The 27,877-nt window shown below is 39.6% G+C and overlaps 1 protein-coding gene across 2 annotated transcripts in view, besides 5 other annotated features; it reads right to left on the bottom strand.

Moving 5' to 3' along the window:
* Positions 1-27,877, bottom strand: part of CLVS1 (clavesin 1) — a 536,782-nt gene that overhangs the window by 374,549 nt on the left and 134,356 nt on the right. The gene's annotated exons all lie outside the window — the stretch shown is intronic.
* Positions 1,356-1,535: an enhancer, noted in NCBI's record as "active region_27443". NCBI's record gives its function as "activates an Ori minimal core promoter by ATAC-STARR-seq in GM12878 lymphoblastoid cells {active_cell/tissue: GM12878}" and the evidence as "EXISTENCE:reporter gene assay evidence [ECO:0000049][PMID:35858748]".
* Positions 1,876-1,925: an enhancer, noted in NCBI's record as "active region_27442". NCBI's record gives its function as "activates an Ori minimal core promoter by ATAC-STARR-seq in GM12878 lymphoblastoid cells {active_cell/tissue: GM12878}" and the evidence as "EXISTENCE:reporter gene assay evidence [ECO:0000049][PMID:35858748]".
* Positions 1,946-1,995: an enhancer, noted in NCBI's record as "active region_27441". NCBI's record gives its function as "activates an Ori minimal core promoter by ATAC-STARR-seq in GM12878 lymphoblastoid cells {active_cell/tissue: GM12878}" and the evidence as "EXISTENCE:reporter gene assay evidence [ECO:0000049][PMID:35858748]".
* Positions 4,113-4,282: an enhancer, noted in NCBI's record as "active region_27440". NCBI's record gives its function as "activates an Ori minimal core promoter by ATAC-STARR-seq in GM12878 lymphoblastoid cells {active_cell/tissue: GM12878}" and the evidence as "EXISTENCE:reporter gene assay evidence [ECO:0000049][PMID:35858748]".
* Positions 5,994-6,625: an enhancer, noted in NCBI's record as "NANOG-H3K27ac-H3K4me1 hESC enhancer chr8:62033015-62033646 (GRCh37/hg19 assembly coordinates)". NCBI's record gives its function as "activates a minimal SCP1, AML or CMV promoter by ChIP-STARR-seq in naive H9 embryonic stem cells {active_cell/tissue: H9 hESC(naive)}" and the evidence as "EXISTENCE:reporter gene assay evidence [ECO:0000049][PMID:30033119]".

Genomic DNA, 27,877 nt, shown 5'->3' with positions numbered 1-27,877 from the left:
TTTTTGGTTCCTTTGGAAAATTCCTATACTGTGGGAAAGTCACTGTGCCCCTTCCAAGACCATGAGCAGCCCCATCTCACACTGCAGGAAGGTAAAAGACCCAGGCCAATTGAGGAACATCAGAAACACAGAAATTGGTTGACGATGGATATTTGACTCAAGCTGGGTTAGAGTCTTCTGTGCTACTTAAGGGAATACCATTTTTTCTCTTTTTGGATCATGTCAATCCAAGATTTGTCAGCAATGTAGAGAGAGGTTGTGTAAAGCAGGAGAGAATAAGTCCAACATGCAAACAAAAGACACAGAAACAAGCTGAGCTGAGAAATGAGAGGAAGGAGAGTGAACATGACAACACTGTTTGAACACTTGGATTCAGCTGTGCAAAGAAGAGAAATTTTCCCGGACTTTAAATACAATGAGTCAACAAATCCTTGGTGCTTAAGGTAGTTTGAGTTGGGTTTCTGCCTCTTACAATGCAAAGACTGATTAGTATAACTTGCCTTATTATTTTACTTTAAAGCTTCTTTAATATTATCAGTTCCATTGGATACAAAACTATACAATTTATAAGCCCAATTTTGTGAAACAATAATGTATATACTAAATCTAGTTGTAACAATAGCAAGCATTTATTGACCATTTACTACGTGCCAGGCAAGATGCTAACCCAGGCAATGGAACCCCAGACCCTGATGGTTAACCACCAAACCCAGTTGCCTTCCGCTTTCTTTGATTTGGTAGCAGACGCACTCAGTACATGTCTGCTTTCTCCACAGTGCAGTGGCACCCACAATTGTGGCTGGTATGGGAGATGGGGTGAGAGCTGGGTGGGAGGACAGGTCAGGCCATGAGGTAGCTGGACCGAGAGTCAGACAGTGTGTGTGTGCATGCATGTGTGTGTGTGCATATGTGTGTAAAGAGAAGAGAGAAGTGAGAATGTGCTATAGTAGTCACAAGAGTGGCAGGGCATACCTCCAGAAGGCTCACAGTGGGGCTGTAAGTAGAGCTTAGAGAGCCTAGAGTCAAAGGGGTGACTTCCATTTCTTTGTATATTTATCATGCATTTGTCATTCTTCCACAATCAACTATATTACATTTGGAATCAGAAAAAAAAAAATGTCCTTAAAAAAGGCTCTATTCCGTTTATCAAACCAACGAGGCTGTTTTCCGTTAATTGTTGTTTTAATATGAATTAAGAGCATTTATATAATATTGAAAAATCAAACTAAAATACATTATGTGTCATTGTATTTCATTTTGTGTGTCTCATAGCTATGCCGTCCTATTAATCTCTCTGGTATATTTGCATATGTCTTTTTAAAATTCCCTCATAGAAAACCTTTCTGTGTACTAAGTGGGAACTTGCTCTGACCCTGAAATAAAACAGTGGAGTTCTTCAGATTAGAAAATCCCTTTGGACTGAATTTAAACAATAGTTGAAAGTTTGTTGCCTGGCTGTTTATTTTAAATCCCCCAAGTATGAGAGTCCATTTGCATCTATTGTGGGACCTACTGTTCCTTTGATCTTGGGTTTTAAAGGTGTTGGGAATCACCAATGTCTTTTTCAGTCAGTTTGAGCTAAGTGAGAAAAGAAATATTATCTGGAAGAGAAAGACCAAAATGAGGAACTGAACTTATGTCTTTTTTTAGTTTTTGTTTTAGTTTTGAGTAACCCCTTATGGGTAAAGCTGCTTTGTTCAGCTCTCTGCACCTAGCCCCCCACAACCTGTCCTGCTCTCCCACAGAGCCTTCCCCCTGACCCCCAAACCATCCATAGCTGTGAGCACTGCTGCGCCATGGAGGACACAAACAAATACTTGGTGCTTCTGCAACCAAAGCGAGGAAAGGGGAAGGCTGCATGGTTTAGTGGTTAAACAGGAGGGTTCTGGGGTTCTAATGCCTGGGGTAGAACCTTGAGATTGTCATTTTGAGTGTATCCTTGAGCAAAGTGTGTCATCTCGGAAGGCCTCAATTTCCTTATCAATTTAGATAATAAGAGTAACTACCAAAGAGGTGAACTAGAGAGACAGGATGAAATGTCTCTCAAGCACTCAGCCCAGTACCCAGCCCATAGGAAATGCTCATGATTGTTGGCTACCATTATGAGCCAAGTGCTTTTACAACATGTCTCACTCTCCTCTCTCACCTGTGCTGATGTTTCCCACTCCTCTTACCCCAAAGTAGACCTGATCACACCATCCCACCCTCACTGGCACATGAGGCACTGATCACACTTCAGGACGTTTATGGCATTTACGTGGGTGTCTCTCCATTACAGCAAAACCCATGACAGCAAGGACTAGGTCTGATTTGTCTTTGTCTTTCTGCACCCAATGCCCCACATCTAGGAGACATTCACAATTTTTAAAGGAATGAGTGGATGGATGCACTGCCATCTCCCAGATGAGGAGTTTGAGGCTCATCAGCCATAAGTGACTTCTGCAAGGTTACAAGCCAGTAAGTACCAAAGTCTGGGGCTTTCATTAAAGGGTCTGAAGGAACAACGATAATACATTGTGGTTTAGTAAATAGTCAAGAAAATAGATCAGATCAACTAGAGAGGGGACAAGACACAGGAGCTACTAAAAATAAAAAAAACATTGATCAGCATAAAACAATAGCGTGCTCTGTTTCTAAGAAATGACGGCCTTGCCTGGACAGGTATGAACCAGCTTTAAAACACAAAAATGCAATCAAGTCCAGTCAAACAAGTTGACCACTTTGGAAACTATTCATCTTGTTCAGTAACAAATCCTGGAATCTCATATGAAGTAGTTTGCTTATTTTTTTCAGACCTCCTAAGTGTCATTGTTTGGTTATATATATTCCTCGCTTTAATTCGACTCGTGGTTTTAAAACTCAACCACACTGGATTTTGCAGTGTTGTTCTTTTGCAAGGATTTGAACATGAAGTATAATCACACAGGAACAGTGATCTGCTCATTTCCAAAACCATGGGTAACTTACTAAAGTTTCAGCAAATTTTAAAATGATTGATTTTCATCCATTTCTTTTTTTTAAGATAGATAAATTTTGCTTTGAAAGTAGGAGTCTTTTTGTCTCTGTGCCTTTGTTGTGCAAGAACAAAACATTTTAAACCCTTCTTTAAGAATCAAACTGAAGTCCTGTCTTGCTTCTATTTATGTTTGGTACTAAAAGAAAGGAAAGAAGCAATAGCATCCTCCTCGCCATGCTCCAACTCTCTTTTTGTCTGCTTTGATGATCAGACTGTTGCAAAGAAAATGCTGGACTGCAGAGTAAACACAGGGTTTGAAGCCCAGTGGAAGCCAATGCCAGCCTGGCTGAGTGAGCAGGGGTCACCTCCATTCCACAAGGCCATTCCTCCACAGGCTTTAGTCCATGCACACCGACTGACCTGAAATGTACAAAACTCCACAAAAGAATGACCCAAATCAGCATAGCATACATTGGTGAGTCCCTCCCCAAATTTTTGGAGCAAAGTTTCCTACTAAGTTAATAATGAAGAAAAAAATATTTATAGTTATTTTGAAACCTTGGGGAAAAAATTAGGATTTTAAAATTTTCTCCAAAACATTCTTGATTAAAAGGAAAATTTGGAGAACAATTTGAACTATGTTTACCACATATAATTTTTAGCTTAGTAGCATACAAACGTATTTATAACTTCTTTTTCCCCAGGTCATAAAATGTTTTACTCTAAATCAGGAAAGAGTAACTTAAAATAGCCACAACGTTACTGATTGAATTGACTTATAAATGTTGTGTTGTTTTCTAGAAAGGGAGATATAAACTATGAGACTTTTATTATTATTATTATTATTATTATTTTGAGACAGAGTTTCACTCTTGTTTCCCAGGCTGGAGTGCAATGGTGCGATCTCGGCTCAGCGCAACCTCCGCCTCCCGAGTTCAAGTGATTCTCCTGCCTCAGCCTCCTGAGTAGCTGGGATTACAGGCATGTACCACCACCCCCGGCTAATTTTGTATCTTTAGTAGAGATGGGTTTTCTCCATGCTGGTCAGGCTGGTCTTGAACTCCCGACCTCAGGTGATCCACCTGCCTTGGCCTCCCAAAGTGCTGGGATTACAGGTGTGAGCCACCGTGCCTGGCCACTATGAGACTTTTTAAAGCAGTAGATAACTCTTTTGTTTTTACCAGTTTATAAAAAGCATGCAGAAACATGAAAACTGAAGAAACCACGAACATTAAGAGTGAACGCAGAAAATCACATTTTCTGTACTTGAAGCCGTCAGAGTTGAGTGTCCTTTTTCAGCAAAGGAGCCAGAGAGCTGGGAAAGGATTGAAGCTGGTCAAAAGCACCTTGGTCTTTTGGTATTATCCACACCTGTTTCTTTTCTGAACTAACCCCTGGGCAGTTGCAGCCTCCTCTGGTGTTAATGATTTATCACTTTCATGATGCTCTGAAAAGTCAAATGATTAACTTCACACTTTTGTGTAGTCTTTCACTTCTTGCTTGCTGTTTTCTTGTGTGTGTGTGTGTGTGTGTGTGTGTGTGTGTGTGTGTGTGTTTTCTTAATATAGGCTGATGTCATTCACACGTTGTAGGACATTGATAAATAGGATTCAGCATAAAGTAAGGTGAGCCAAAAGCTGAGATTGCAAAGACTTGCCAGTAGGTCACCAGAAAGATGTGTTTGACAGATTTCCTGGCAATCTATATCCCTGGCCCGAGTACCTGGAAATAATCTGAATTTTGCAACAATTGTAAGGATCCTGAGTATGAGGCTTGAATTATTTACTATCCTGCTCAGCAATAACATTATTTATGTAGTTACTACCGGGTCCTGCATCCAAAAAGTTTATGGTTGCAGAAGCATATGACAAAAATGTACCAGTATCTGTATTATAGTCTTTCTTTCTTCTTATCTTGCTCTGTACTTATAAGCAGAGGCAGCTTGAGAGTAACTAAATCAGCTGCTTTTACCTGGGTCATTTCTGTAAGTTGTGTCTACCAACAGATCCAGATATTGCTGAAGAAAGTGGCTTTAGATCCTTCTGGGGGTTTTATAGTTAAATCCAGAAGAAATGTTCACCAAATCCAGTGGTGGTGGTGTTTAATCTACAGGTATTGTAATGCGCCAGTGGATTCTAATTCTTTACCTCCCACTGTGTTGAGTCCTCCTGTTGTATTTCAGGGTCTTTATTTTGCTGGCACTTTTTTTCTCGAAGGAAACACTTCCAATATGAATAGTTTTCACACATTCATGCAGCTTTTTATTCCTCTAGGACTCTTTCGAGAATTTCTATTCTGTGCTATCTTAAGCAAGTGTGAGCCATAGAATGTACATCCAACTGCATTAATGTCTGTGTGTGTGTGGGTGTGTTTCTGTTATGAACTGTCCTGCTGTTTTTGTGTATACTTTGCTTTGACAGTCAGCAAAGAACATACTTGAAATGTTCAGCATCTCTCTTTGATTTCACAGGCCACAATATCTGTTCACTCAGAATTTGATTCTTCTGCAAAAACCTGATGGATTGAGACACAAATTCTGTATGATAATTTTATTTCCCAGAACATTTTTATATCCATCTGTGAGTGTCACAAGACAAACATGTTTCAATGATTCTTCCTGGAATATATTCCAATACACGCAAACAGATACACGCATTCACATACACACACACACAAACACACACACAGAGTAAATCCAATAGTTGAAAAAATAAGAGTTGCCGGTGAATAAGGAGCCAAGATGGCCGAATAGGAACAGCTCTGGTCTACAGCTCCCAGCGTGAGCGACGCAGAAGACGGTGATTTCTGCATTTCCATCTGAGGTACCGGGTTCATCTCACTAGGGAGTGCCAGACAGTGGGTGCAGGTCAGTGGGTGCGCGCACCGTGAGCGAGCCGAAGCAGGGCGAGGCATTGCCTCACTTTGGAAGCGCAAGGGGTCAGGGAGTTCCCTTTCCGAGTCAAAGAAAGGGGTGACTGACGGCACCTGGAAAATCGGGTCACTCCCACCCGAATACTGCGCTTTTCCCACGGGCTTAAAAAACGGCGCACCACGAGATTATACCCCGCACCTGGCTTGGAGGGTCCTACGCCCACGGAGTCTCGCTGATTGCTAGCACAGCAGTCTGAGATCAAACTACAAGGCGGCAGCGAGGCTGGGGGAGGGGCACCCGCCATTGCCCAGGCTTGCTTAGGTAAACAAAGCAGCCAGGAAGCTGGAAATGGGTGGAGCCTACCACAGATCAAGGAGGCCTGCCTGCCTCTGTAGGCTCCACCTCTGGGGGCAGGGCACAGACAAACAAAAAGACAGCAGTAACCTCTGCAGACTTAAATGTCCCTCTCTGACAGCTTTGAAGAGAGCAGTGGTTCTCCCAGCACGCAGCTGGAGATCTGAGAACGGGCAGACTGCCTCCTCAAGTGGGTCCCTGACCCCTGACCCCTGAGCAGCCTAACTGGGAGGCACCCCCCAGCAGGGGCAGACTGACACCTCACACGGCAGGGTATTCCAACAGACCTGCAGCTGAGGGTCCTGTCTGTTAGAAGGAAAACTAACAAACACAAAGGACATCCACACCAAAAACCCATCTGTACATCACCATCATCAAAGACCAAAAGTAGATAAAACCACAAAGATGGGGAAAAAACAGAACAGAAAAACTGGAAACTCTAAAATGCAGAGCGCCTCTCCTCCTCCAAAGGAACGCAGTTCCTCACCAGCAACGGAACAAAGCTGGATGGAGAATGACTTTGACGAGCTGAGAGAAGAAGGCTTCAGACGATCAAATTACTCTGAGCTACGGGAGGACATTCAAACCAAAGGCAAAGAAGTTGAAAACTTTGAAAAAAATTTAGAAGAATGTATAACTAGAATAACCAATACAGACAAGTGCTTAAAGGAGCTGATGGAGCTGAAAACCAAGGCTCGAGAACTACGTGAAGAATGCAGAAGCCTCAGGAGCCGATGCGATCAACTGGAAGAAAGGGTATCAGCGATGGAAGATGAAATGAATGAAATGAAGCGAGAAGGGAAGTTTAGAGAAAAAAGAATAAAAAGAAACGAGCAAAGCCTGCAAGAAATATGGAACTATGTGAAAAGACCAAATCTACGTCTGATTGGTGTACCTGAAAGTGATGGGGAGAATGGAACCAAGTTGGAAAACACTCTGCAGGATATTATCCAGGAGAACTTCCCCAATCTAGCAAGGCAGGCCAACATTCAAATTCAGGAAATACAGAGAACGCCACAAAGATACTCCTCGAGAAGAGCAACTCCAAGACACATAATTGTCAGATTCACCAAAGTTGAAATGAAGGAAAAAATGTTAAGGGCAGCCAGAGAGAAAGGTCGGGTTACCCTCAAAGGGAAGCCCATCAGACTAACAGCGGATCTCTCAGCAGAAACCCTACAAGCCAGAAGAGAGTGGGGGCCAATATTCAACATTCTTAAAGACAAGAATTTTCAACCCAGAATTTCATATCCAGCCAAACTAAGCTTCATAAGCGAAGGAGAAATCAAATACTTTACAGACAAGCAAATGCTGAGAGATTTTGTCACCACCAGGCCTGCCCTAAAAGAGCTCCTGAAGGAAGCGCTAAACATGGAAAGGAACAACCAGTACCAGCCGCTGCAAAATCATGCCAAAATGTAAAGACCATCGAGACTAGGAAGAAACTGCATCAACTAACGAGCAAAATAACCAGCTAACATCATAATGACAGGATCAAATTCACACATAACAATATTAACTTTAAATGTAAATGGACTAAATGCTCCAATTAAAAGACACAGACTGGCAAATGGGATAAAGAGTCAAGACCCATCAGTGTGCTGTATTCAGGAAACCCATCTCACGTGCAGAGACACACATAGGCTCAAAATAAAAGGATGGAGGAAGATCTACCAAGCAAATGGAAAACAAATAAAGGCAGGGGTTGCCATCCTAGTCTCTGATAAAAGAGACTTTAAACCAACAAAGATCAAAAGAGACAAAGAAGGCCATTACATAATGGTAAAGGGATCAATTCAACAAGAAGAGCTAACTATCCTAAATATATATGCACCCAATACAGGAGCACCCAAATTCATAAAGCAAGTCCTGAGTGATCTGCAAAGAGACTTAGACTCCCACACATTAATAATGGGAGACTTTAACACCCCACTGTCAACATTAGACAGATCAACGAGACAGAAAGTCAACAAGGATACCCAGGAATTGAACTCAGCTCTGCACCAAGCGGACCTAATAGACATCCACAGAACTCTCCACCCCAAATCAACAGAATATACATTTTTTTCAGCACCACACCACACCTCTTCCAAAACTGACCACATAGTTGGAAGTAAAGCTCTCCTCAGCAAATATAAAAGAACAGAAATTATAACAAACTATCTCTCAGACCACAGTGCAATCAAACTAGAACTCAGGATTAAGAATCTCACTCAAAACCGCTCAACTCCATGGAAACTGAACAACCTGCTCCTGAATGACTACTGGGTACATAACGAAATGAAGGCAGAAATAAAGATGTTCTTTGAAACCAATGAGAACAAAGACACAACATACCAGAATCTCTGGGACGCATTCAAAGCAGTGTGTAGAGGGAAATTTATAGCACTAAATGCCCACAAGAGAAAGCAGGAAAGATGCAAAATTGACACCCTAACATCACAATTAAAAGAACTAGAAAAGCAGAGCAAACACATTCAAAAGCTAGCAGAAGGCAAGAAATAACTAAGATCAGAGCAGAACTGAAGGAAATAGAGACACAAAAAACCCTTCAAAAAATTAATGAACCCAGGAGCTGGTGTTTTGAAAGGATCAACAAAACTGATAGACCGCTAGCAAGACTAATAAAGAAAAAAAGAGAGAAGAATCTAATAGACGCAATAAAAAATGATAAAGGGGATATCACCACCGATCCCACAGAAATACCAACTACCATCAGAGAATACTACAAACACCTCTACGCAAATAAACTAGAAAATCTAGAAGAAATGGATAAATTCCTCGACACATACACTCTCCCAAGACTAAACCAGGAAGAAGTTGAATCTCTGAATAGACCAATAACAGGATCTGAAATTGTGGCAATAATCCATAGCTTACCAACCAAAAAGAGTCCAGGACCAGATGGATTCACAGCCGAAGTCTACCAGAGGTACAAGGAGGAACTGGTACCATTCCTTCTGAAACTATTCCAATCAATAGAAAAAGAGGGAATCCTCCCTAACTCATTTTATGAAGCCAGCATCATTCTGATACCAAAGCCAGGCAGAGACACAACAAAAAAAGAGAATTTTAGACCAATATCCTTGATGAACATTGATGCAAAAATCCTCAATAAAATACTGGCACTCCGAATCCAGCAGCACATCAAAAAGCTTATCCACCATGATCAAGTGGGCTTCATCCCTGGGATGCAAGGCTGGTTCAATATACGCAAATCAATAAATCTAATCCAGCATATAAACAGAGCCAAAGACAAAAACCACATGATTATCTCAATAGATGCAGAAAAAGCCTTTGACAAAATTCAACAACCCTTCATGCTAAAAACTCTCAATAAATTAGGTATTGATGGGATGTATTTCAAAATAATAAGAGCTATCTATGACAAACCCACAGCCAATATCATACTGAATGGGCAAAAACTGGAAGCATTCCCTTTGAAAACTGGCGCAAGACAGGGATGCCCTCTCTCACCACTCCTATTCAACATAGTGTTGAAAGTTCTGGCCAGGGCAATTAGGCAGGAGAAGGAAATAAAGGGTATTCAATTAGGAAAAGAGGAAGTCAAATTGTCCCTGTTTGCAGATGACATGATTGTATATCTAGAAAACCCCATTGTCTCAGCCCAAAATCTCCTTAAGCTGATAAGCAACTTCAGCAAAGTCTCAGGATACAAAATCAATGTACAAAAATCACAAGCATTCTTATACACCAACAACAGACAAACAGAGAGCCAAATCATGAGTGAACTCCCATTCACAATTGCTTCAAAGAGAATCAAATACCTAGGAATCCAACTTACAAGGGATGTGAAGGACCTCTTCAAGGAGAACTACAAACCACTGCTCAAGGAAATAAAAGAGGATACAAACAAATGGAAGAACATTCCATGCTCATGGGTAGGAAGAATCAATATTGTGAAAATGGCCATACTGCCCAAGGTGATTTACAGATTCAATGCCATCCCCATCAAGCTACCAATGCCTTTCTTCACAGAATTGGAAAAAACTACTTTAAAGTTCATATGGAACCAAAAAAGAGCCCGCATCGCCAAGTCAATCCTAAGCCAAAAGAACAAAGCTGGAGGCATCACACTACCTGACTTCAAACTATACTACAAGGCTACAGTAACCAAAACAGCATGGTACTGGTACCAAAACAGAGATATAGATCAATGGAACAGAACAGAGCCCTCAGAAATAACGCCGCATATCTACAACTATCTGATCTTTGACAAACCTGAGAAAAACAAGCAATGGGGAAAGGATTCCCTATTTAATAAATGGTGCTGGGAAAATTGGCTAGCCATATGTAGAAAGCTAAAACTGGATCCCTTTGTTACACCTTATACAAAAATCAATTCAAGATGGATTAAAGACTTAAATGTTAGACCTAAAACCATAAAAACCCTAGAAGAAAACCTAGGCATTACCTTTCAGAACATAGGCATGGGCAAGGACTTCCTGTCTAAAACGCCAAAAGCAATGGCAACAAAAGCCAAAATTGACAAATGGGATCTAATTAAACTAAAGAGCTTCTGCACAGCAAAAGAAACCACCATCAGAGTGAACAGGCAACCAAATGGGAGAAAATTTTCGCAACCTACTCATCTGACAAAGGGCTAATATCCAGAATCTACAATGAACTCAAACAAATTTACAAGAAAAAAACAAACAACCCCATCAAAAAGTGGGCAAAGGACATGAACAGACACTTCTCAAAAGAAGACATTTATGCAGCCAAAAACACATGAAAAAATGCTCATCATCACTGGCCATCAGAGAAATGCAAATCAAAACCACAATGAGATACCATCTCACACCAGTTAGAATGGTGATCATTAAAAAGTCAGGAAACAACAGGTGCTGGAGAGGATGTGGAGAAATAGGAACACTTTTACACTGTTGGTGGGACTGTAAACTAGTTCAACCATTGTGGAAGTCAGTGTGGCGATTCCTCAGGGATCTAGAACTGGAAATACCATTTGACCCAGCCATCCCATTACTGGGTATATACCCAAAGGACTATAAATCATGCTGCTATAAAGACACATGCACACGTATGTTTATTGCGGCATTATTCACCATAGCAAAGACTTGGAACCAACCCAAATGTCCAACACTGATAGACTGGATTAAGAAAATGTGGCACATATACACCATGGAATACTATGCAGCCATAAAAAATGATGAGTTCATGTCCTTTGTAGGGACATGGATGAAATTGGAAAACATCATTCTCAGTACACTATCGCAAGAACAAAAAACCAAACACCGCATATTCTCACTCATAGGTGGGAATTGAACAATGAGAACACATGGACACAGGAAGGGGAATATCACACTGGGGACTGTTGTGGGGTCGGGGGAGTGGGGAGGGATAGCATGGGGAGATATACCTAATGCTAGATGACGAGTTAGTGGGTGCAGTGCACCAGCATGGCACTTGTATACATATGTAACTAACCTGCACAATGTGCACATGTACCCTAAAACTTAAAGTATAATAAAAATAAATAAATAAATAAATAAAAATAAAAATAAAAATAAAATAAAAAAAATAAGAGTTGCCATTTTTTTAAATCCTTACTATTTGCTAGACATTGTACTAAATGCCTTGCATACAATATCTCATTTTGTTTCACAATAACAGTGAGAAATGGTTATTATCAGCTTTGTTTTGCTCATGAGAATACTATGATTTAGAGCAATTTGTCCAAAGTTGTATGTGGTAAGTAGCAGAACTGAATTTTGAGCCTAGGGCTCTGTCTTGCTAAAATTTTTGCCCTTGAACACTATGCTTTAATGTCCCCTCTACAAAGAGATGGCTCAAAAAATGTCTGCTGGGGAAAAAGTTATACAATCACTTTTGGAACTTACAAAAGTCCAGCTTCTATGCACCTTCAGTGATTGAAAATGACAACGCAGAAAATTGTATGGTACTTCTCAGAGCTTCAAGAGCTTTTTCTGATCTTCCAGTGCCATCTTATACTAACATGAAGACACTGGAAGCTTTTTGTTGTTATATTTGTTTTGTTTGGGTTTTCAAAAAAATAGAAGGAGAGTAGTATGTACTCAGTGACTTGAGAATGTAAGTATAGAAACAAAAGATGAAACCTGAGATTTGAGAAGGCTAAAATAAAGATTTCTATTCACTTTCATTAGATGTTTATAAGATATTTAATATATCAAGAATTCTTCTGGCCATTCTAGAACTCTTGGTAAATACCTGTTTCACTTGCAATGATGTTTTTTTAAACTCAGAATGATGTACTAGGTGATAGCTTCACCATCTTGCTCAAAGGGGAAGAAATGTAGTGTAGCAGCTAGCTGGATGATAAACATTAATTTGTCAGTATAATAAACTACTGATAGTGTAGTTGTACTTTCTTCTTTTGAACCATTAAAGGCAAGAGTGGTTTTATCTAGGAATCTGGTCTTTCATTACATCGTTTCTGTTAAAGTCACTACCTGAGAGCATTTGTCTAGAAGACTAGCTAGCTCAAAATTTTTAGGGTTTTCTGGGCAATTTGCTGTAGATGATGCTTTACTGAATTTTCATCAAGATCCTTTGCTGTTTAGTTTTATATCTATGGGTGGGATTGACCCACCAAGGGACTTAGTAAAGCAAGTGAATCTTTTGTATGAGTAAAGCAACTATAGTCTGCCACCTGTTGTAAAGCCTGAAAACTAAGGATGATTTTTGCATTTTAAATGATTGAAAGAAACACAAGAAGAATAATATTTCACAACATGAAAACTATCTGAAATTCAAATTTCAATGTCCATAATAAAGTTTTACTAGAACACAGCCATTATCATTCATTTACATATCATCTGTGGTTGCTTTTGCAAGACAAGGACAGAGTTGAGTAGTTGATACAGGGCCACAAGGCCTAAAGTATTTACTACCTGGCCCTTTGCACAAAAGTCAGCTGTCGTCTGATGTAAAGAATATACCCAGGGCCAGGTGCAGTGGCTCAGCCTGCAATCCCAAGACTTTGGGAGGCCAAGGCAAGAGGAGGGTTGCCTGAGCCAGGGATTTGAGACCAGCCTGGGCAACACAGTGGCACCCCGTCTCTACAAAAAAATATTAATTAGCTGGGCATGGTGGCACACACTCACCACACCTGGCTAACTTACCAGCCAGGACCCAGGGTAGGATAGGACTGATGGGCGGGTGTCAGTGCAGGTGCCGTAAGCAGAGCCATCCTTTCCAGGTGACACTGCATGGCATGGCTGCTAACCCTGAAACTTGCATTCTTGAAAAACTTCCCTGGGTCCAACTTGTTTTTCAGTCTTTTGCCTCTTTTGCATAGAAGGAGTGAACTATGGGCAGCTGGGTTACTTCCTGGATAATGCAACAAGAAGCCAGCTTCCTGCAGATGTATTACCAAGTTCAGGTCTAAAGCAGGCTTCTCCCACATGGCTCTGCTCACCACCACACACCTCAAAAGTAACTAGGTTGGTAACTAGTATCTTCCTTCCTTTTGCTCCCCATGTGGTTGGACCCATCTGCACCACTCAAAACATGATGCTTGTTTCATCTGGACATTCTCTAGGACTCAGCAGCCTGTGGGTTTATAGCAGGTCACTTTTACAACATTAACCCAATTTTCTATTTTTGCGCTGCTGTTCTCAAAAACTTCCATTACCCTGCATCACCCCACAACTCCCCGCCCCATGTATTTCTGAAAGTCCCCACTGATGTCCCCATGTGCCCAAGGGCCAAATTACCAGCTCAGTCACCAGGAGTGCCCACCTTGTTTCTCTGCAGTTCTGCTTCTCACATAGGGACCCTCAGGCTGCCTCTGTAGATAACCACAGTGAGGGCCGCCTCCTGTCCCACAGTTTCCAATGCTCCAGATGCCATAGCAATACAGCAGTCAATGCAGAAGTGATAGTTGGGAGGAGATATCCTCCCAAATTGCAGTACTGTCTGCACCAAGCATCGAAAACTTTCCACATGTGTTCAGAGCTTCCCAGAGGTTCCTGCAAAAATAGCTGATTCATTTATCACTTATTTGAAGATTGGCATGATTGTTCCAATCTTTTACAGATTGGAATAAAATCTTTATTTTACAGACTAAAAAAAAAGGAAACTACAGAGAAGAGCAATGTCATCTGCTGGTGGCACAAGGACCCAAACCCAATCCTGAAGCTTACAGGTCCTTTTGCTTCTCCAGTCTGAGGTTCAATCAAGGCTCCTCCTCTCAGACCTTTTAGAATCTATCTTACTGATCTCTGCTCTACATCTACTGGAATAGTGAGGCAACAAGTACCTTACTTCTAATCTCTTATAAAAATACATATCCAGTATTCACTTACAGGCTTTAATTGGCTAATTATTTCAAATCTTTAAGGAAAAAGTAATCTCGCTGCCTATTGAATTATTCCAAACTTGTAAAAATGTGGAAAGTTTCACAATTATCTGATCAACATAGCAGAGCTCTGATACAAAATCTTAGAAATGCTGAAAAGGAGAGAAAATGATAGGCCAATAGAAATGGCCTCATCTACAGTAGAAATACATGAAATTTTACATTAAATGTCAGCAAATTTAATGTAGCGTACATTAGTGAGACTAATACACCATGATCAAGTAGGCCTTATTCTATAACTTTACATATGGTCAGAGGAAAATAATATGAACCTCTCTCTCTCTCTGTCTCTGTGCGTGTGTGTGTGTGTGTGTGTGTGTGTGTGTGTGTGTGTGTAGCACGGAGAACTTTAAAATAATAACAGCGATTATGATAGGTGGTGGGAATGCAGATCATGCTTATTTCTTTTGCTTCCCTGCAACAGTCATTTGAAATAAAAGATCTTATTCACAACTTTAGTTAACTATTCATATTCCTTTGTTTAGCAAACAAAAATTAAATACTTAGGGGATATTCAACAAGAATTCTACAGTACCGATTTGAAAAAAACTTTGCTGAAGTTTACTAAAAGAAGATTATTAAAAGAAGACTGTGAATTGGAGAGATCTTCTGGAAAAATTAAATGCCAATTTTCTGCAAAACTCTATAAATTTAATACAACTTCAATTAAAATTTCAATGAAATATTTTAAAATCTATAAAAATGATGAACTTTTTGATAGAAGGACTATATAATAGCCAATTTTTTTAAAGAAGGGTAATAAAGAAAGCCTTGTTCTCCTATATTCAAAATATGTTTTAAAGCCACAGAAATTTAAACAGTATACTAATAGCAGAGAGCTAGGCAGAAAGATTTACAGAACAGAAGACCAGAAAGAGGCCCACATTTAAACAAATATGTGATAGAGATAGCATCCCAACCAATATGGAAATGATCCATAAATATAGATGGAACTACTTGCTAACTAAAATAAGTTTCAATTGAATTAAAGTTTAAATGTGAAAGATTAAATCACAAATTGATGCTGATTTCAGTTTCCTTTCCATTCCCAATTATTTTGTCCCAAATCTGAAGGATAATTTAGCATGTCAGCCTGTACCAAAAGTACAAACCAAGAAGATACCAAAGAAAATATTGACTCATCATTTTGGGAAAATGACACCCTTCTCTTCCTCCTTTTGGAGGAAGAAGACCATCTTGTTTTTGCAATCAACTGTCATTTAAAAGGGGACTCATAATCTGATAAAATAGTTTGATTTTTTATGTTTGTGAATTTTCTAATATTTTGCACAGTGAAAGCCGTATATCAATATCTGAAAACACTCTCTTAAGCGTCATTGCATTTTTTCAGGAATTCCTACTTTTTTCAGGAATCCCTACTGTATTCCACTACTGCAAACAGTATGAAGGTTCCTCAAAAAATTAAACATTTAGTTACCATACGATCCAGCAATCCAATCTCTGGGTATATACACAAAAAATGAGAAAGTGGATCTTAAAGAGATAGTTGCATACCATATTCATAGCAACATTATCCACAATAGCCAAGAAGTAGAAACAACCCAAATATCCATCACCAGATGTATAGGTATACAAAATGTGGTCTACACATGCAAGGTAATATTATTCCATCTTAAAAAGGAAGGAAATTCTGACTACAACATGGATGAACATTGAGGACATTATGGTAAGTGAAATAAGCCAGTCACGAAAAGACTAATACTGTATGATTCTAGTTATGTGAGATAATTCAAGTAGTCAAATTTCTCGAGACAGAAGGTAGAGTGGTGGTTGCCAGGGGGTAGGGGAGGCAGGAAATGGAGATCTGTAGTTTAGTGGGTACAGAGTGTCAGTTTTGCAAGGTGAAAAAGTTCTACACTAGACTTTGGTTGCACAACAGTGTGAATATACTTACTACTGATCTGTACATTCAGAAGTGGTTAAGATGGTACATTTTATGTTGCATAGTTTTTACCACAATTAAATTAAAAAACTTTTTTTTTTAAATCCCACTTTTTAAAAGATCTTCACAATGTCTTAATCATAGGAAAGGGGGAAAATCCACATTCATGGATTGCTGCCTTAGACTAGGTTTCAATCTAAGACAAAACTGGAGATGAGGATTCCATGGAATAATTGAGGAAGCCGTCTCAAAAAGGAAGAGAGGGAAGGGAGAGAGCAAGGGAAGAATTCTGGCAGGATGTGGTCTTGTCTGGAGTCTAGCTACAGCCTGGGTTGTCAGGGCAGCTCCCTAACAGCACACAGAATTTACCCCTACTTGAGAAAAGGCAGCCAATGTTTTCTGCACCTGCCAGGCAGTCAGGGTTACAGGCCGACCCCACTGGTGGTGGGAGGGGGATTAATTTCCCAAGTGAGACAGCTCCGATTCAGCCAAGGCCTCAATAGAAGGGGGCAACCGTGCACCATTAGCAGCCAACGCTCAGGGCAGCTGGGAGTCAGCGCACAGGCCCAGAGGAGGGGATGAAGTGAGGCTAATGTCTTAGTCTGTTTTCTGTTTCATAAACTACCTGGCACTGGGTAATTTATAAGAAATGAAATTTATTTCTTACAGTCCTGGAGCCTAGGAAGTCCAAGGTTGATGGGGCGCATCTTCTTGCTGGTGGGGATTGTCTGTGGAGTCCTGGGGCAGTGCAGGGCATCTCACAGTGAGGGAGCTGAGAGTGCTAACGTACTATCTCAGGCCTCTCCTCCTCTTCTTATAAAACCACCAGTTCCTCTCCCATGATAAACCATTAATCCCTTAACCCGTAATCCATTAATCCATGAATAGATTCATTCATTCATGAAGGCAGAGCCCTCATGATCCAATCGCCTCTTCAGAGCCCCACCTCTCAACACTGACCCTTTGGGGATTAAGTTTCTACCTGAGTTTTGGAGGGCACATGCAAACCATAGCAGCTACAGTTGCCATTTGAACTGAATTTGAACTTCAGATGACCAACAAATAATTTTTTAGTATAAATATGCCCAAAGCAATATTTATACTGAAGTATTTAAATTTATAAATATTTATGTTATTATATATTCTATTGTGTAATATATTTGGTTATATTTATGTATTGTATTATAGCTAAAAAGCATTTGTCCTTCATCTGAAATTCTGATTTAACCGGGTGTGCTGGATTTTTAGGTGCTAAATTTGGTGACCCTAAGTGGGACCTCAACACCATCTGCTCCAACAGTTCACAGGTGCCAGGGCCTTTGATGGAAATTACTTCATTTAGACTTTGGAACAACTGTTTAAGAGTAATATTTTCCTTACATTGCAAATGAAAAAAAAAGGAAGTGCACACAGAAGTAACTGGAAGAAGCAGAATGTGGATACGAGTATGACCCCAACCCCAGCCAGAATGCATAGCAGCCTCTACAAGCCCCTCCAAATGGAACCCCTCAAATCCCTCTCCCCGATCACACCAGCTCCTCAGCCAGCATTTAGTCAAGTGTGAGAAACTCCAAGTAGAAAATTATATATGTGAATCCCAACGGGGATGGGAAAAATCCCTCCTCACCCCTTTCCCTCCATCTGGCATCTGGCCAAGTAAAATGCTCTCTGTTGCTTGCAGGGAAAGCTGTTGTCCTGCTTAAGGCAATGTGACTTAGAACCAACAGAGCACAATCTTAAACATGAGGGCTGAACTGAGAATACCCTCAGGCCCCTGACTCAGTGGGGCTGTCTGTCTCAGTAAAGAAAAGAGATCCTTCTGAAATGTTAAAACCAGACTTAGGGCTAAGCTTTGTAATCACAGATAGAGGGGGATATAAATATGAGTGAAACTTTGAGTGAGAAGTTTGTAACTGGAAGAAACAATAAAGTCAGGATGAAATACCAACCCTTGGATTAGTATTCATATTTAGCGTGGTTGGGTCTTAAGAGATCTCTTGGAAGCCCTAACAGACTGACTTAGGCTTACCCATGGAAGTATTACATAATAATATATGTCTCTTTCATCCTTCCTTCCAAGTGTAGTTAAGGATGCACATATTATCTCAGGGTGTATATACATATAGAAAAAGAGTGAAACAGAGATTGGAATAGATTAAAACAGAGATCTATGGAGCCATTTAGAGCTTTTGGATACCAGAATTGCAAAATCGACTAGTTGTCAACAATAATGAATGGCATAGAAAAGTGCCTATTAAACATCACTCATTTCATTGTACAAGGGAAACCTAGCTGTTACCATATATTTGCAACTAATATTGCAGATTTTTGTTGCACTAAATATAGGACCCATGAGGGCAGAGATTTTTTTTTTATGGTTTTTTTTTTTTTTTTTGAGACGGAGTCTTGCTCTGTCACCCAGGCTGCAGTGCAGTGGCATGATCTTGGCCCACTGCAGGGACTACAGGCATGCACCACCACGCCTGGCTAAATTTTTTTGTATTTTTAGTAGAGATGGGGTTTCACCATGTTGGCCAGGCTGGTCTCGAACTCCTGGCCTCAAATGACCTGCCCACCTCGACCTCCCAAAGTGCTGGGATTACAGGCGTGAGCCACTGTGCCTGGCTATTTTTATGGTTTTCTCTGATGAATCCGAAGTGTCTAGAATAGTGCCTGATGTAAACACTCAATAAATATTTGTTGAATGAATTAACTTTCAGCTGATAAATAACCAGAGAACATAAAAATATGTTGGTTCACAATTTCACCAAATCCAAAGGAAAATCCAATAATTTGAATTCTGAAAACTGCAAGGAATGAGGGAAATATTTTTAAAGCAGCTCAGGTGACATTTTAGTTCAATTCAGCAAACAAAGGTGCTGTGCTTAGTAACGCAATGGGGAGACACAGATGAAGCAGCGATGCTCATCTTCACGGAGAACCAGCTGCCATCTCCAGGTTAGTCCTTGCTATGGTCTGAATGTTTGTCCTCCCAAAATTCTTATGCTGAAACCTAACACCCAAGGTGATGGTATTAAGAAGTAGGCATTTTGGGGGCAGTGATTAGGTCATGGGGGCTCCACCCTCATGAAGGGCATTAGTGCCTTCTAAAAGAGGCTTAAGGGAGCTTGTTCTCCATTTCCACCAATGTGAAGATACAGCTAGAAGATGCCATCTATAAGGAACAGGACCTCATCAGACAATGAATTTGCTGATACCTTGATCTTGGACTTGCCAGCCTCTGGAACTGTGAGCAGTAAATTTCTGTTGTTTATAATTTTCCAGTGTAAGGTATTTTGTTACAGCAGTCCAAACCAACTAAAAGGGTCTCCTAGACTAAGAACATTATTCAGTTCGATTTGGCAGTGAGAAGGAAGATTTCAGACATGAGTTCTTGTCCAGCCTTTAGATAGAACACGTCTCACTCTCTCTAATTCGCAAACCAATCCTTATAGTTTCAAATTGTCCTGGTTTGTGTCAAGTCTGCTTTCTCAGTCAGAGTAATGAGGACATAAAATGAATGGAAGTGTCTAAAATCCATCAGGATCATTTATGGGAGAGAGGAGAATGGCAGTTCACCTGCTTCCACACAGCCCTCCAAAACCACCTTTTATGGAATTTGGAACTGTCATGGCCTGAGCACTCCCAGCAGGCAAGTTGTCACATGGAACCTCATAACTGTATGTTCACCCTTTCCTGGTTCATTCATTCATTCCACCCAGCACTGAGCACCTGGCCCTCTGCTTGCCCGCCTCCAGAGATGGTAAGCCCCATCTTTTGGTCTCAATATATTGGTAAGAGCCTCCAGGCAAAGTTGGGCTGACTCTTATCTAGAAGCTTCACAGTACCTGGGAGTTTACCCAGTAAAATTTCCATAGTTGTGTCATTCTTCTGAATGCAGGGGAACAAAATCCAGGCATCTCCGTGGGTTTCCATGTAGCTGGTCCAAGCCACCTGCACCTGGGCTGTTTGTCAACTTGCCAAAGGCTCAAAGGCACAGCACCCTCCACCGCCTGCGCGGAGGTGCCAGCAACTCCTCCTGTGGCGTACTGGGCAGGCCCGGACTCCGTGCTCATTTTCCTCTCTCTAATCCTCCTACACCTTATTGTTTGCTGCCCCACCGTCCAGCTTGTGTATGAAAGCCTGTTCCAGGATTGTTTTTCCGTCCCAGCTTCCAAAATGCGCCTTAGCTTTCATTCTACGTTTCTTTAAATATCGAGTTTTCATTCCTGTGCTCCATCTCTTCAACGTTGTTGGAAATCTTTTATTTGGCTGATAAAATCAACAGCGAGCCATCCACCTGTAGTTGGTGTGTGCTTGTGTGTTGTTTTGTTTCCTGTTTGTTTTTTAGAGAATTCCATGTATGGCCTTCTCCTACCACTTTGATATTCTGGCACTGGCTTCATGCTTTAAAATACAGTTCAATTAAACAAACCTGAACTGAGAGCCTACAAAGGGCTCCTCCACCTCTTCCAGGGAAGGAGCAAAGGGAGGAAGTCGAGGAGGAAGACGTGGCGGAATCTGCTCACAGTCTAGTAGGGTAGTCAGGCAAATAACTATAGCATGATAGGAAACATGCTGTAGTACACAGGAACACACAAGTGCTGATGGCACAGCAAAGGAAGACAGAACTACAACCGGCTTCTGGCTTCCAAGGGATCCCTGGAGGCAGACAGACGCAGGGCGGGCATGAGCGGGAGAACAACTAAAACTGGAGCGGTTGTGTTCAACGGGTCCAATTTGGGCTGTGACGGGTTGCAGTCCATGACAAGTTTGTCCTTTATCCTATAGCTGCTGATTCCTAAGTTTGGGGAGTAGGAGGATCCCTTTTTAAAGTAAAAAAAAAAAATGTTCAGAGACCTCCTACCCTAACATGATTGCACTTTTAATGTCCTATAATTAAGAAAATATGTATGAAAAGAGAATACAATGATACATGCCTTGAAATTAATTTACTTATTTACAAATGACAGTCTCTACAAGTATTTGTGAGGCCTTATTCAGGGCACAGAGAGTACCTGGCGTGTGGAAGGCCCCATGTCCCTGGCCATGCACTGCCCTTGGCCCCATTCTCCACTCCCACAGCCTGAGGAACCTGAGACCTAAGAGCTGAGAATCATTAATGCTTACCTCACCGGGGTTTTAAGTAGGCAGAGTGAGACGAGTTTTATGCTTAAAGAAGTTCTCTCTGATAGGTTGAAAAAATGGACTAGATAAGAAAGAACCTGGGGTCAGAGAAATCAGTTAGAAAGCTATTAAATCCCAATAATAGAAGCTTTATGTGAAATTGTGTGTGTGTGCATGTATGTGTATGTGTGTAAGCTATAACCAATAGTTTTATATGTACTTCTAAGTGATTCAAGTTTGTTTTTCAAATTCAATTCACTCTTTTTCTCCTATAAATACTGATGAACACTACTTTAAGAAAGTCTATATTTAAAAATATCTCAAATATAGTTAGTCTTTTAAATTAAAACAGATGTGGCTGGGGGCAGTGGCTCATGCCTGTAATTCCAGCACTTTGGGAGGGTGAGGCAGGTGGATCACCTGAGGTCAGGAGTTCAAGACCAGCCTGGCCAACATAGTGAAACCCTGTCTCTACTAAAAATATAAAAAATTAGCTGGGTGTGGTGGTGGGTGCCTGTAATCTCAGCTACTTGGGAGGCTGAGGCAGGAGAATTGCTTGAACCCAGGAGTCGGAGGTTGCAGTGAGCCGAGATCATACCATTGCACTCCAGCCTGGGCAACAGAGCGAGACTCTGTCTAAATAAATAAAAAAATAAAGTAAAACAAATGTAAGCCAGCACAGTGGTACACAGTGTAGTCCCAGCTACTTGGTAGACTGAGACAGGAGGATCACTGGAGCCCTGGAGTTTCAGGCCAACTTGTGCCTCAGAGCAAGACCTGGTCTCTAAAACAGTCAATTTAAAAATAATAAGATTTTAACATTTTGATCCAATCCTTGATTTTTCCTTCAAAAAACCCATATGCTTTTGATTTGGGAAAAAAATGTATTATAAAAAATAAGCCAACTTTTCAAATGATGTGAATGGGTTCATGATTCTTAAAGATTACTAAAACTAATCAAGCATTAAGATATAACAATATACATCTTTCATAACTTGGGTGAATTTTTCTCCTACTTTATCAAAATCACATCTGTTGGAGTTAAGGACTACAAGAAATTACCCTGGATTTCCCATCACTTCTGGCTACTGCAAGAGAGACATACACGCTACCTATATATCTCTGCAGCACATCAATTTAAATCTGTTGGAACAACTTTTTAACCCTCATTTCAGCTCAAGGTCTTTGAAGTTGACCAAATGATGAATCTAGCCTGATTTCTTGTTTGTATGAACCAGGTTTCTTCTTTTGCTGTCTGTAGCTCAGGTTTTCATTCTCTATAGTAAGAAGCTTTTAAGGAAAGCTTTTTTATTCTAGGATTTTGCAAGGATGATTTTGCTCTTCAAAGAAGAACAATGAGCTAAATTTGCTTATTTTCATGCCTGCTGAAATCCAAATGTCCAGTAGATTGTTAATCACTTTCTGAATACAGGAAACATGCAAAGTGAACAACAGATAAAAGTATCAGATTTTATGATACATGTTGGTTATCTATTGTATCATGACCCTGAATACCAAAAAGCCAAAGACTTTGTAGTTAGTGTTTTGTTAAGCTTCCAGATGAGGGATGATACATTAGAATCTATTCTTTACTCATAAATCCCCACCCATCCAGGCAAGAATAGACCCCTAATGTTTGCATTCTTTTAAGCAAGCCCTTGCCTAAAGTTCACCCCTTCCTGAAATTCAGCTCAAGTGTTCAGCACATGTCGACCCTGCAGTAATGAATTGGCACAAGCCTAATTCTTATGATGATTAATGAAGCTCCTCAGATGCAGCCTATTATTTCATCCAAAGTTAAAACAGTGATTCGTCATTAATCACTGAAAGAAATGGGCTCAATGATTCATAATTCTAAACCAGCCCATTTCCTTAAGGTCCTGTTTTCCTTTTGTTATTCCAGAAGTGTCACAGTTCATAGCTATGTGCTGTCTGCATTCTGATATGCACTTTTTCTGATTAATTTTCTTCAAAAAGTCATGGACCCCAAAGATATTTACTTATAACCCCAAAACCTCTGAAGATTCATCCTTCTTTCAGATGCTCATCTTTTTCTAGATCAAACTACTCTCAGTTTATCCAGTTTAAAATATGCACCCTCACCCAGAGACTGAACAAGTTAATCATAAATCAATAATCTTCATGCCTACTTTTGGTCCTTGGCAAACAGCAGCATTTGGAGTAGGGCCATTTAGATTTAAATGGTTGGTTGCCTTTTCACTGCTATCCCTCATTTACACCTAGATCTTCACCAGTGGCCAAGGAAGAGCAGCAACTCAAACAGTGCTTCACCCTCCCAGTCCTGGCTCAAAGTCATTTCAGGTCCACTAGCAAAGAAAAGTATTGCTGCTTTCTACATGGGACCTTGTGTTACATCATTTGCCAACCTGGTGCTATTTTCTTTAAAGCTGTCCGCCTTACATAAAAAAAATTTGATATTCTTCTACCTTCCATAAATGAAATGAAAGCCTTCACTATGATCTACTATCATTGCCTACCTTTCCCGGTGGCAAGAAGATCACCCATAAAAACTAACAGCTTCACTCCTGTCACTACTGCCTTCATAGAGCTCAGGGAGGTTGCCTTCAGCCTGAGAGCTGCCTTTTTGTTTTCTCTATCCTTTTCCTTCTCCTCCTCCTCCAACTGCTCTTTCCTCTTCTATTTCCTCTTTCTCTTTCCTCTCACTTCTCTTTCTTTTCCCTGTCTCTTTTCCTTTTTCCTATATTCATAAGTTTTGCCCCTTATGGCCTGGCAGTAGATCCCAGCATGATACCTCAGCCCCATGATAGCAGTTAGGAGTGAAGAACTTGTGAGGGTCATGGAGCTTTTTACTATGGTCTATAGTACCCTCTCAAGAAGTTATAATTTTCAGCCAGGGCAACTAGGCAAAAACACAAAATAATAGGCAGCCAGATTGAAAATGAGGAAGTCAAACCATCTCTATTCACAGATGATATGATCTGGTACATAGAAATCCCTAAGAAAGCCATTTTTAGAACTATTAGAACTAATTAGTTCAACAAGGTTGCAGGATGCAAGATAAATATACAAAAATCAATTGTATTTCTATACAGTAGCAATGAACCAACCAAAATTAAATTAAGAAAACAATTTTTTTTACAATTGCATAAACAATAATAAAATACTTAGAAATAAAATTAACAAAATATGGGTAAAACTTATACCGTGAAAAACTATAAAACATTGTTGACATAAATTATGAAAGAACTAAATAAATGAAAAGACATCCCATATTCATGAATTGGAAGACAAAGACTATTGTTAAGATAGCAACACTCCTTCAGCTGATCTACAGATTTAACGCAATCTCCAGCTCAAAAATCCCATCTGGCTTCTTTAAAGAAATTTGACAAGCTGATCCCAAAATTTATATGAAAATTCAAGGGACTCAGAATAGTCAAAACTGTCTTGAAAAGAAAAAACCAAGTTGGAAAACTCACATTTCCCAATTTCAAAACTTATTACAAAGCTACATTAATCAAAACAGTGTGGTACTGTGGTACATATTGATCAACGAAATATATCGAGAGTCTTGAAATAAGCCCTCACATTTATGATACTTGATTTTTCACAAGGACCTCAAGACTAAATGATAAAAGAATAGTCTTTCAATAAGTGGTGCTGGAACAACTGAATATCTACATGAAAAAAAAAAAACTTGGACTCCTACTCACACCATATTTAAAACGTTAACTCAAAATGTAATAAAAATATAAATGTAGAGCTTAAAAACATATAAAACTTGTAGATAAACCTAAGGGTAAATATTTGTGCCTTGGATTAGCCAATGGTTTCTTAAAATGACACCAAAAGCAAATAAATAAATAAATAAACCAGACATCATCAAAGTTAAAAACTTTTACATTTCAAAAGCACCACACAGAAAGTGAAAAGACAACCCACAGAATGGGATAAAAATTTTGCAAATAGGTATCTGATAAAGAATTTGTATCATGAATACATATAAAGAACTATTAAAACTCAACAATAATAAGACAAACTAAATTTTTTTAAATGAGCAAGGAATCTGAATAGACATTTTTCCAGAGAAGATATACAAACACATGTAAGACATACAAACATCTATACAGAGAAGATATACAAACACAATAAGCACATAAAAAGATGCTCAACATCATTAACCATCAAAGAAATGCAAACTAAAATGACAATGAGATACCACTTTACATCCACAAGGATGGCTAGAATCAAAAAGTATTGGCGAAGATGTGGATAAATTAAAATCCTCATATTCTACTGGTGAGAATATAAAATAGTGCAGTCACTTTAGAAAAAGTCTTGCAGTTCTTCAAATGTTTAAATGTATATTTAAACGTATGGTCATGTTACTATATGATCCAGCAATTCCACTTCTTAGGTAAATACCAAGAACGATGAAACATTTGTACATAAAAATATGTGAACACAAGTGTCCATATCAGGATTATTCATAATAGTAAAAAATGAAAACAACCAATGTGTCTGTCAACTGATAAATGGATAAATAGAATGTATTATATCCATACAATAGAGTATTATTCAACAATACCAAAAAAAATGAAGTACTGATACATGCTACACCATGGATCAACCTTCAAAATATTATGTTAAGTAAAGGAAGCCAGTCAAAAGGACCATCTATCCATATTAAATGTCCAAAATAGGCAAATCCACAGAGATAGAAAATAGAATTGTGGTTCCCTAGGGTTGTGGGAGAGGGTGCTAGGTGGGAACAGCACCTAGTGGATTGGGAACGATGGCTAAGGACTATGAAGTTTCCTCTTGGGGTGACGAAAATGTTCTAAAGTTGATTGTGGTGAATGATTACACAAATCTGTGAATATACTAAAAGCCATTGATTATATACTTAAATGGGTGAATTGATTATGTGAATTATATCTCAATTAAGCTGTTTTTGAAAAAAGAAGGGAAGAACAATTTTTAAAAGTCTTGAAAGTCGTGTTCAAGGCAAATTGTGACTTGAAAGTTATGTTCCTTCAAAGCTTTTGTGGGGAAGACAAAGAAGCTTCAAAGAGTATCCAAAAAATGTCTGGGCATTATTCGAAGTTCTAATGTAATTTCTAGTGCTGGGACTTATTCACTAATTTAGACCACTCACTAGCTTTATTTGTATTATTTTTGTCTGCTATAAAATACTGATTAATAAAATAGTGATTAACAGCTCAAAGGGTCAATGCCTCATAATGCATTGAATGTCATGATCATTGTCATTGGTACCCATTGTCCTAATCATGCAAGTTGTCCTGCCTAATAAAAATATTAAGTTCATCTTTTTAGTTAAATTCTGTTACCCTAAGAAAATACCTTGAAAGGAGCCTTTGGTCATGGATAAAATAGATTAATCATCAGTCATCCACACACATGCAGTGGAATTCAATGGCATTAACACCTTTGGAGAGTGAAAAGGGAGGTGGAAGATGGTGTTTCCCATGTTTCATAAATGTCCCTAATTCTAGCATTCTAATTTATCACCCTCTTTTCTTTGGATTTCTATTGTGCTTATTGTCTGTGTTCCGAAGTAGCTGTAACTATATATCCGATTATATTGCTACTTGTATTTTTAAGTATATTCTGTATTTCTAAACAGATTACAATTTGCCTGAGGATTGGAATCATTTCTGATGTGTGTTTATATCCCCAGTAGCCTGAATATTAGTTTGCCCACATTAGAAGTTCAGTAAATACTTGCTGCTGCTGTAAATGATGATGTCAATCACAATAAACTTTCAACAGATAACCCTCAAAAGTTTAGTCCCAGAGACCTGCTCGCCAAACTCTCTCATTCTTTGGACCCTCCCTCCCTCTATGTAGTCTTTCAGAGATACTTTTAGAAAGATTTCTCTCAGCCATTCAAGCAAATTCACCCTGACTACACTTTGTAAATATCTCCACAATCACTCATGACTGTATATAATATTTGTTCACTTGTTTATACTCCTGCAAGATGAGTATTACATCTTATTCACCTTACAATTACTTAAATCCAGCCAATGACTGTCATATAATAAATACTCGAAAAATATTTGTTAAATAAATAAATGAATCATTAAAAAAAAGACAAAGGTCCAAGAAGAGTCCTGGCTTCCCATTGAATTTGCTACTCTACCTCTCCAGCCGCTCTCCAGAGCCCTTTGACCCCATCCCAGGCCTTCAGTGGCTCCGCAAACATTAACTCTCCTTTTGGATGCCCACCAGATCACACCACTGCCCCTCCCCTCCTCTGACTCCACTAAAACGACA

This window comes from Homo sapiens, chromosome 8 (assembly GCF_000001405.40).
Source record: "Homo sapiens chromosome 8, GRCh38.p14 Primary Assembly".
Taxonomy (NCBI): Eukaryota; Metazoa; Chordata; class Mammalia; order Primates; family Hominidae; genus Homo; species Homo sapiens.
Note: the sequence above shows the minus strand (reverse complement) of the source record. Positions and strands in the feature narration are given on the sequence as shown.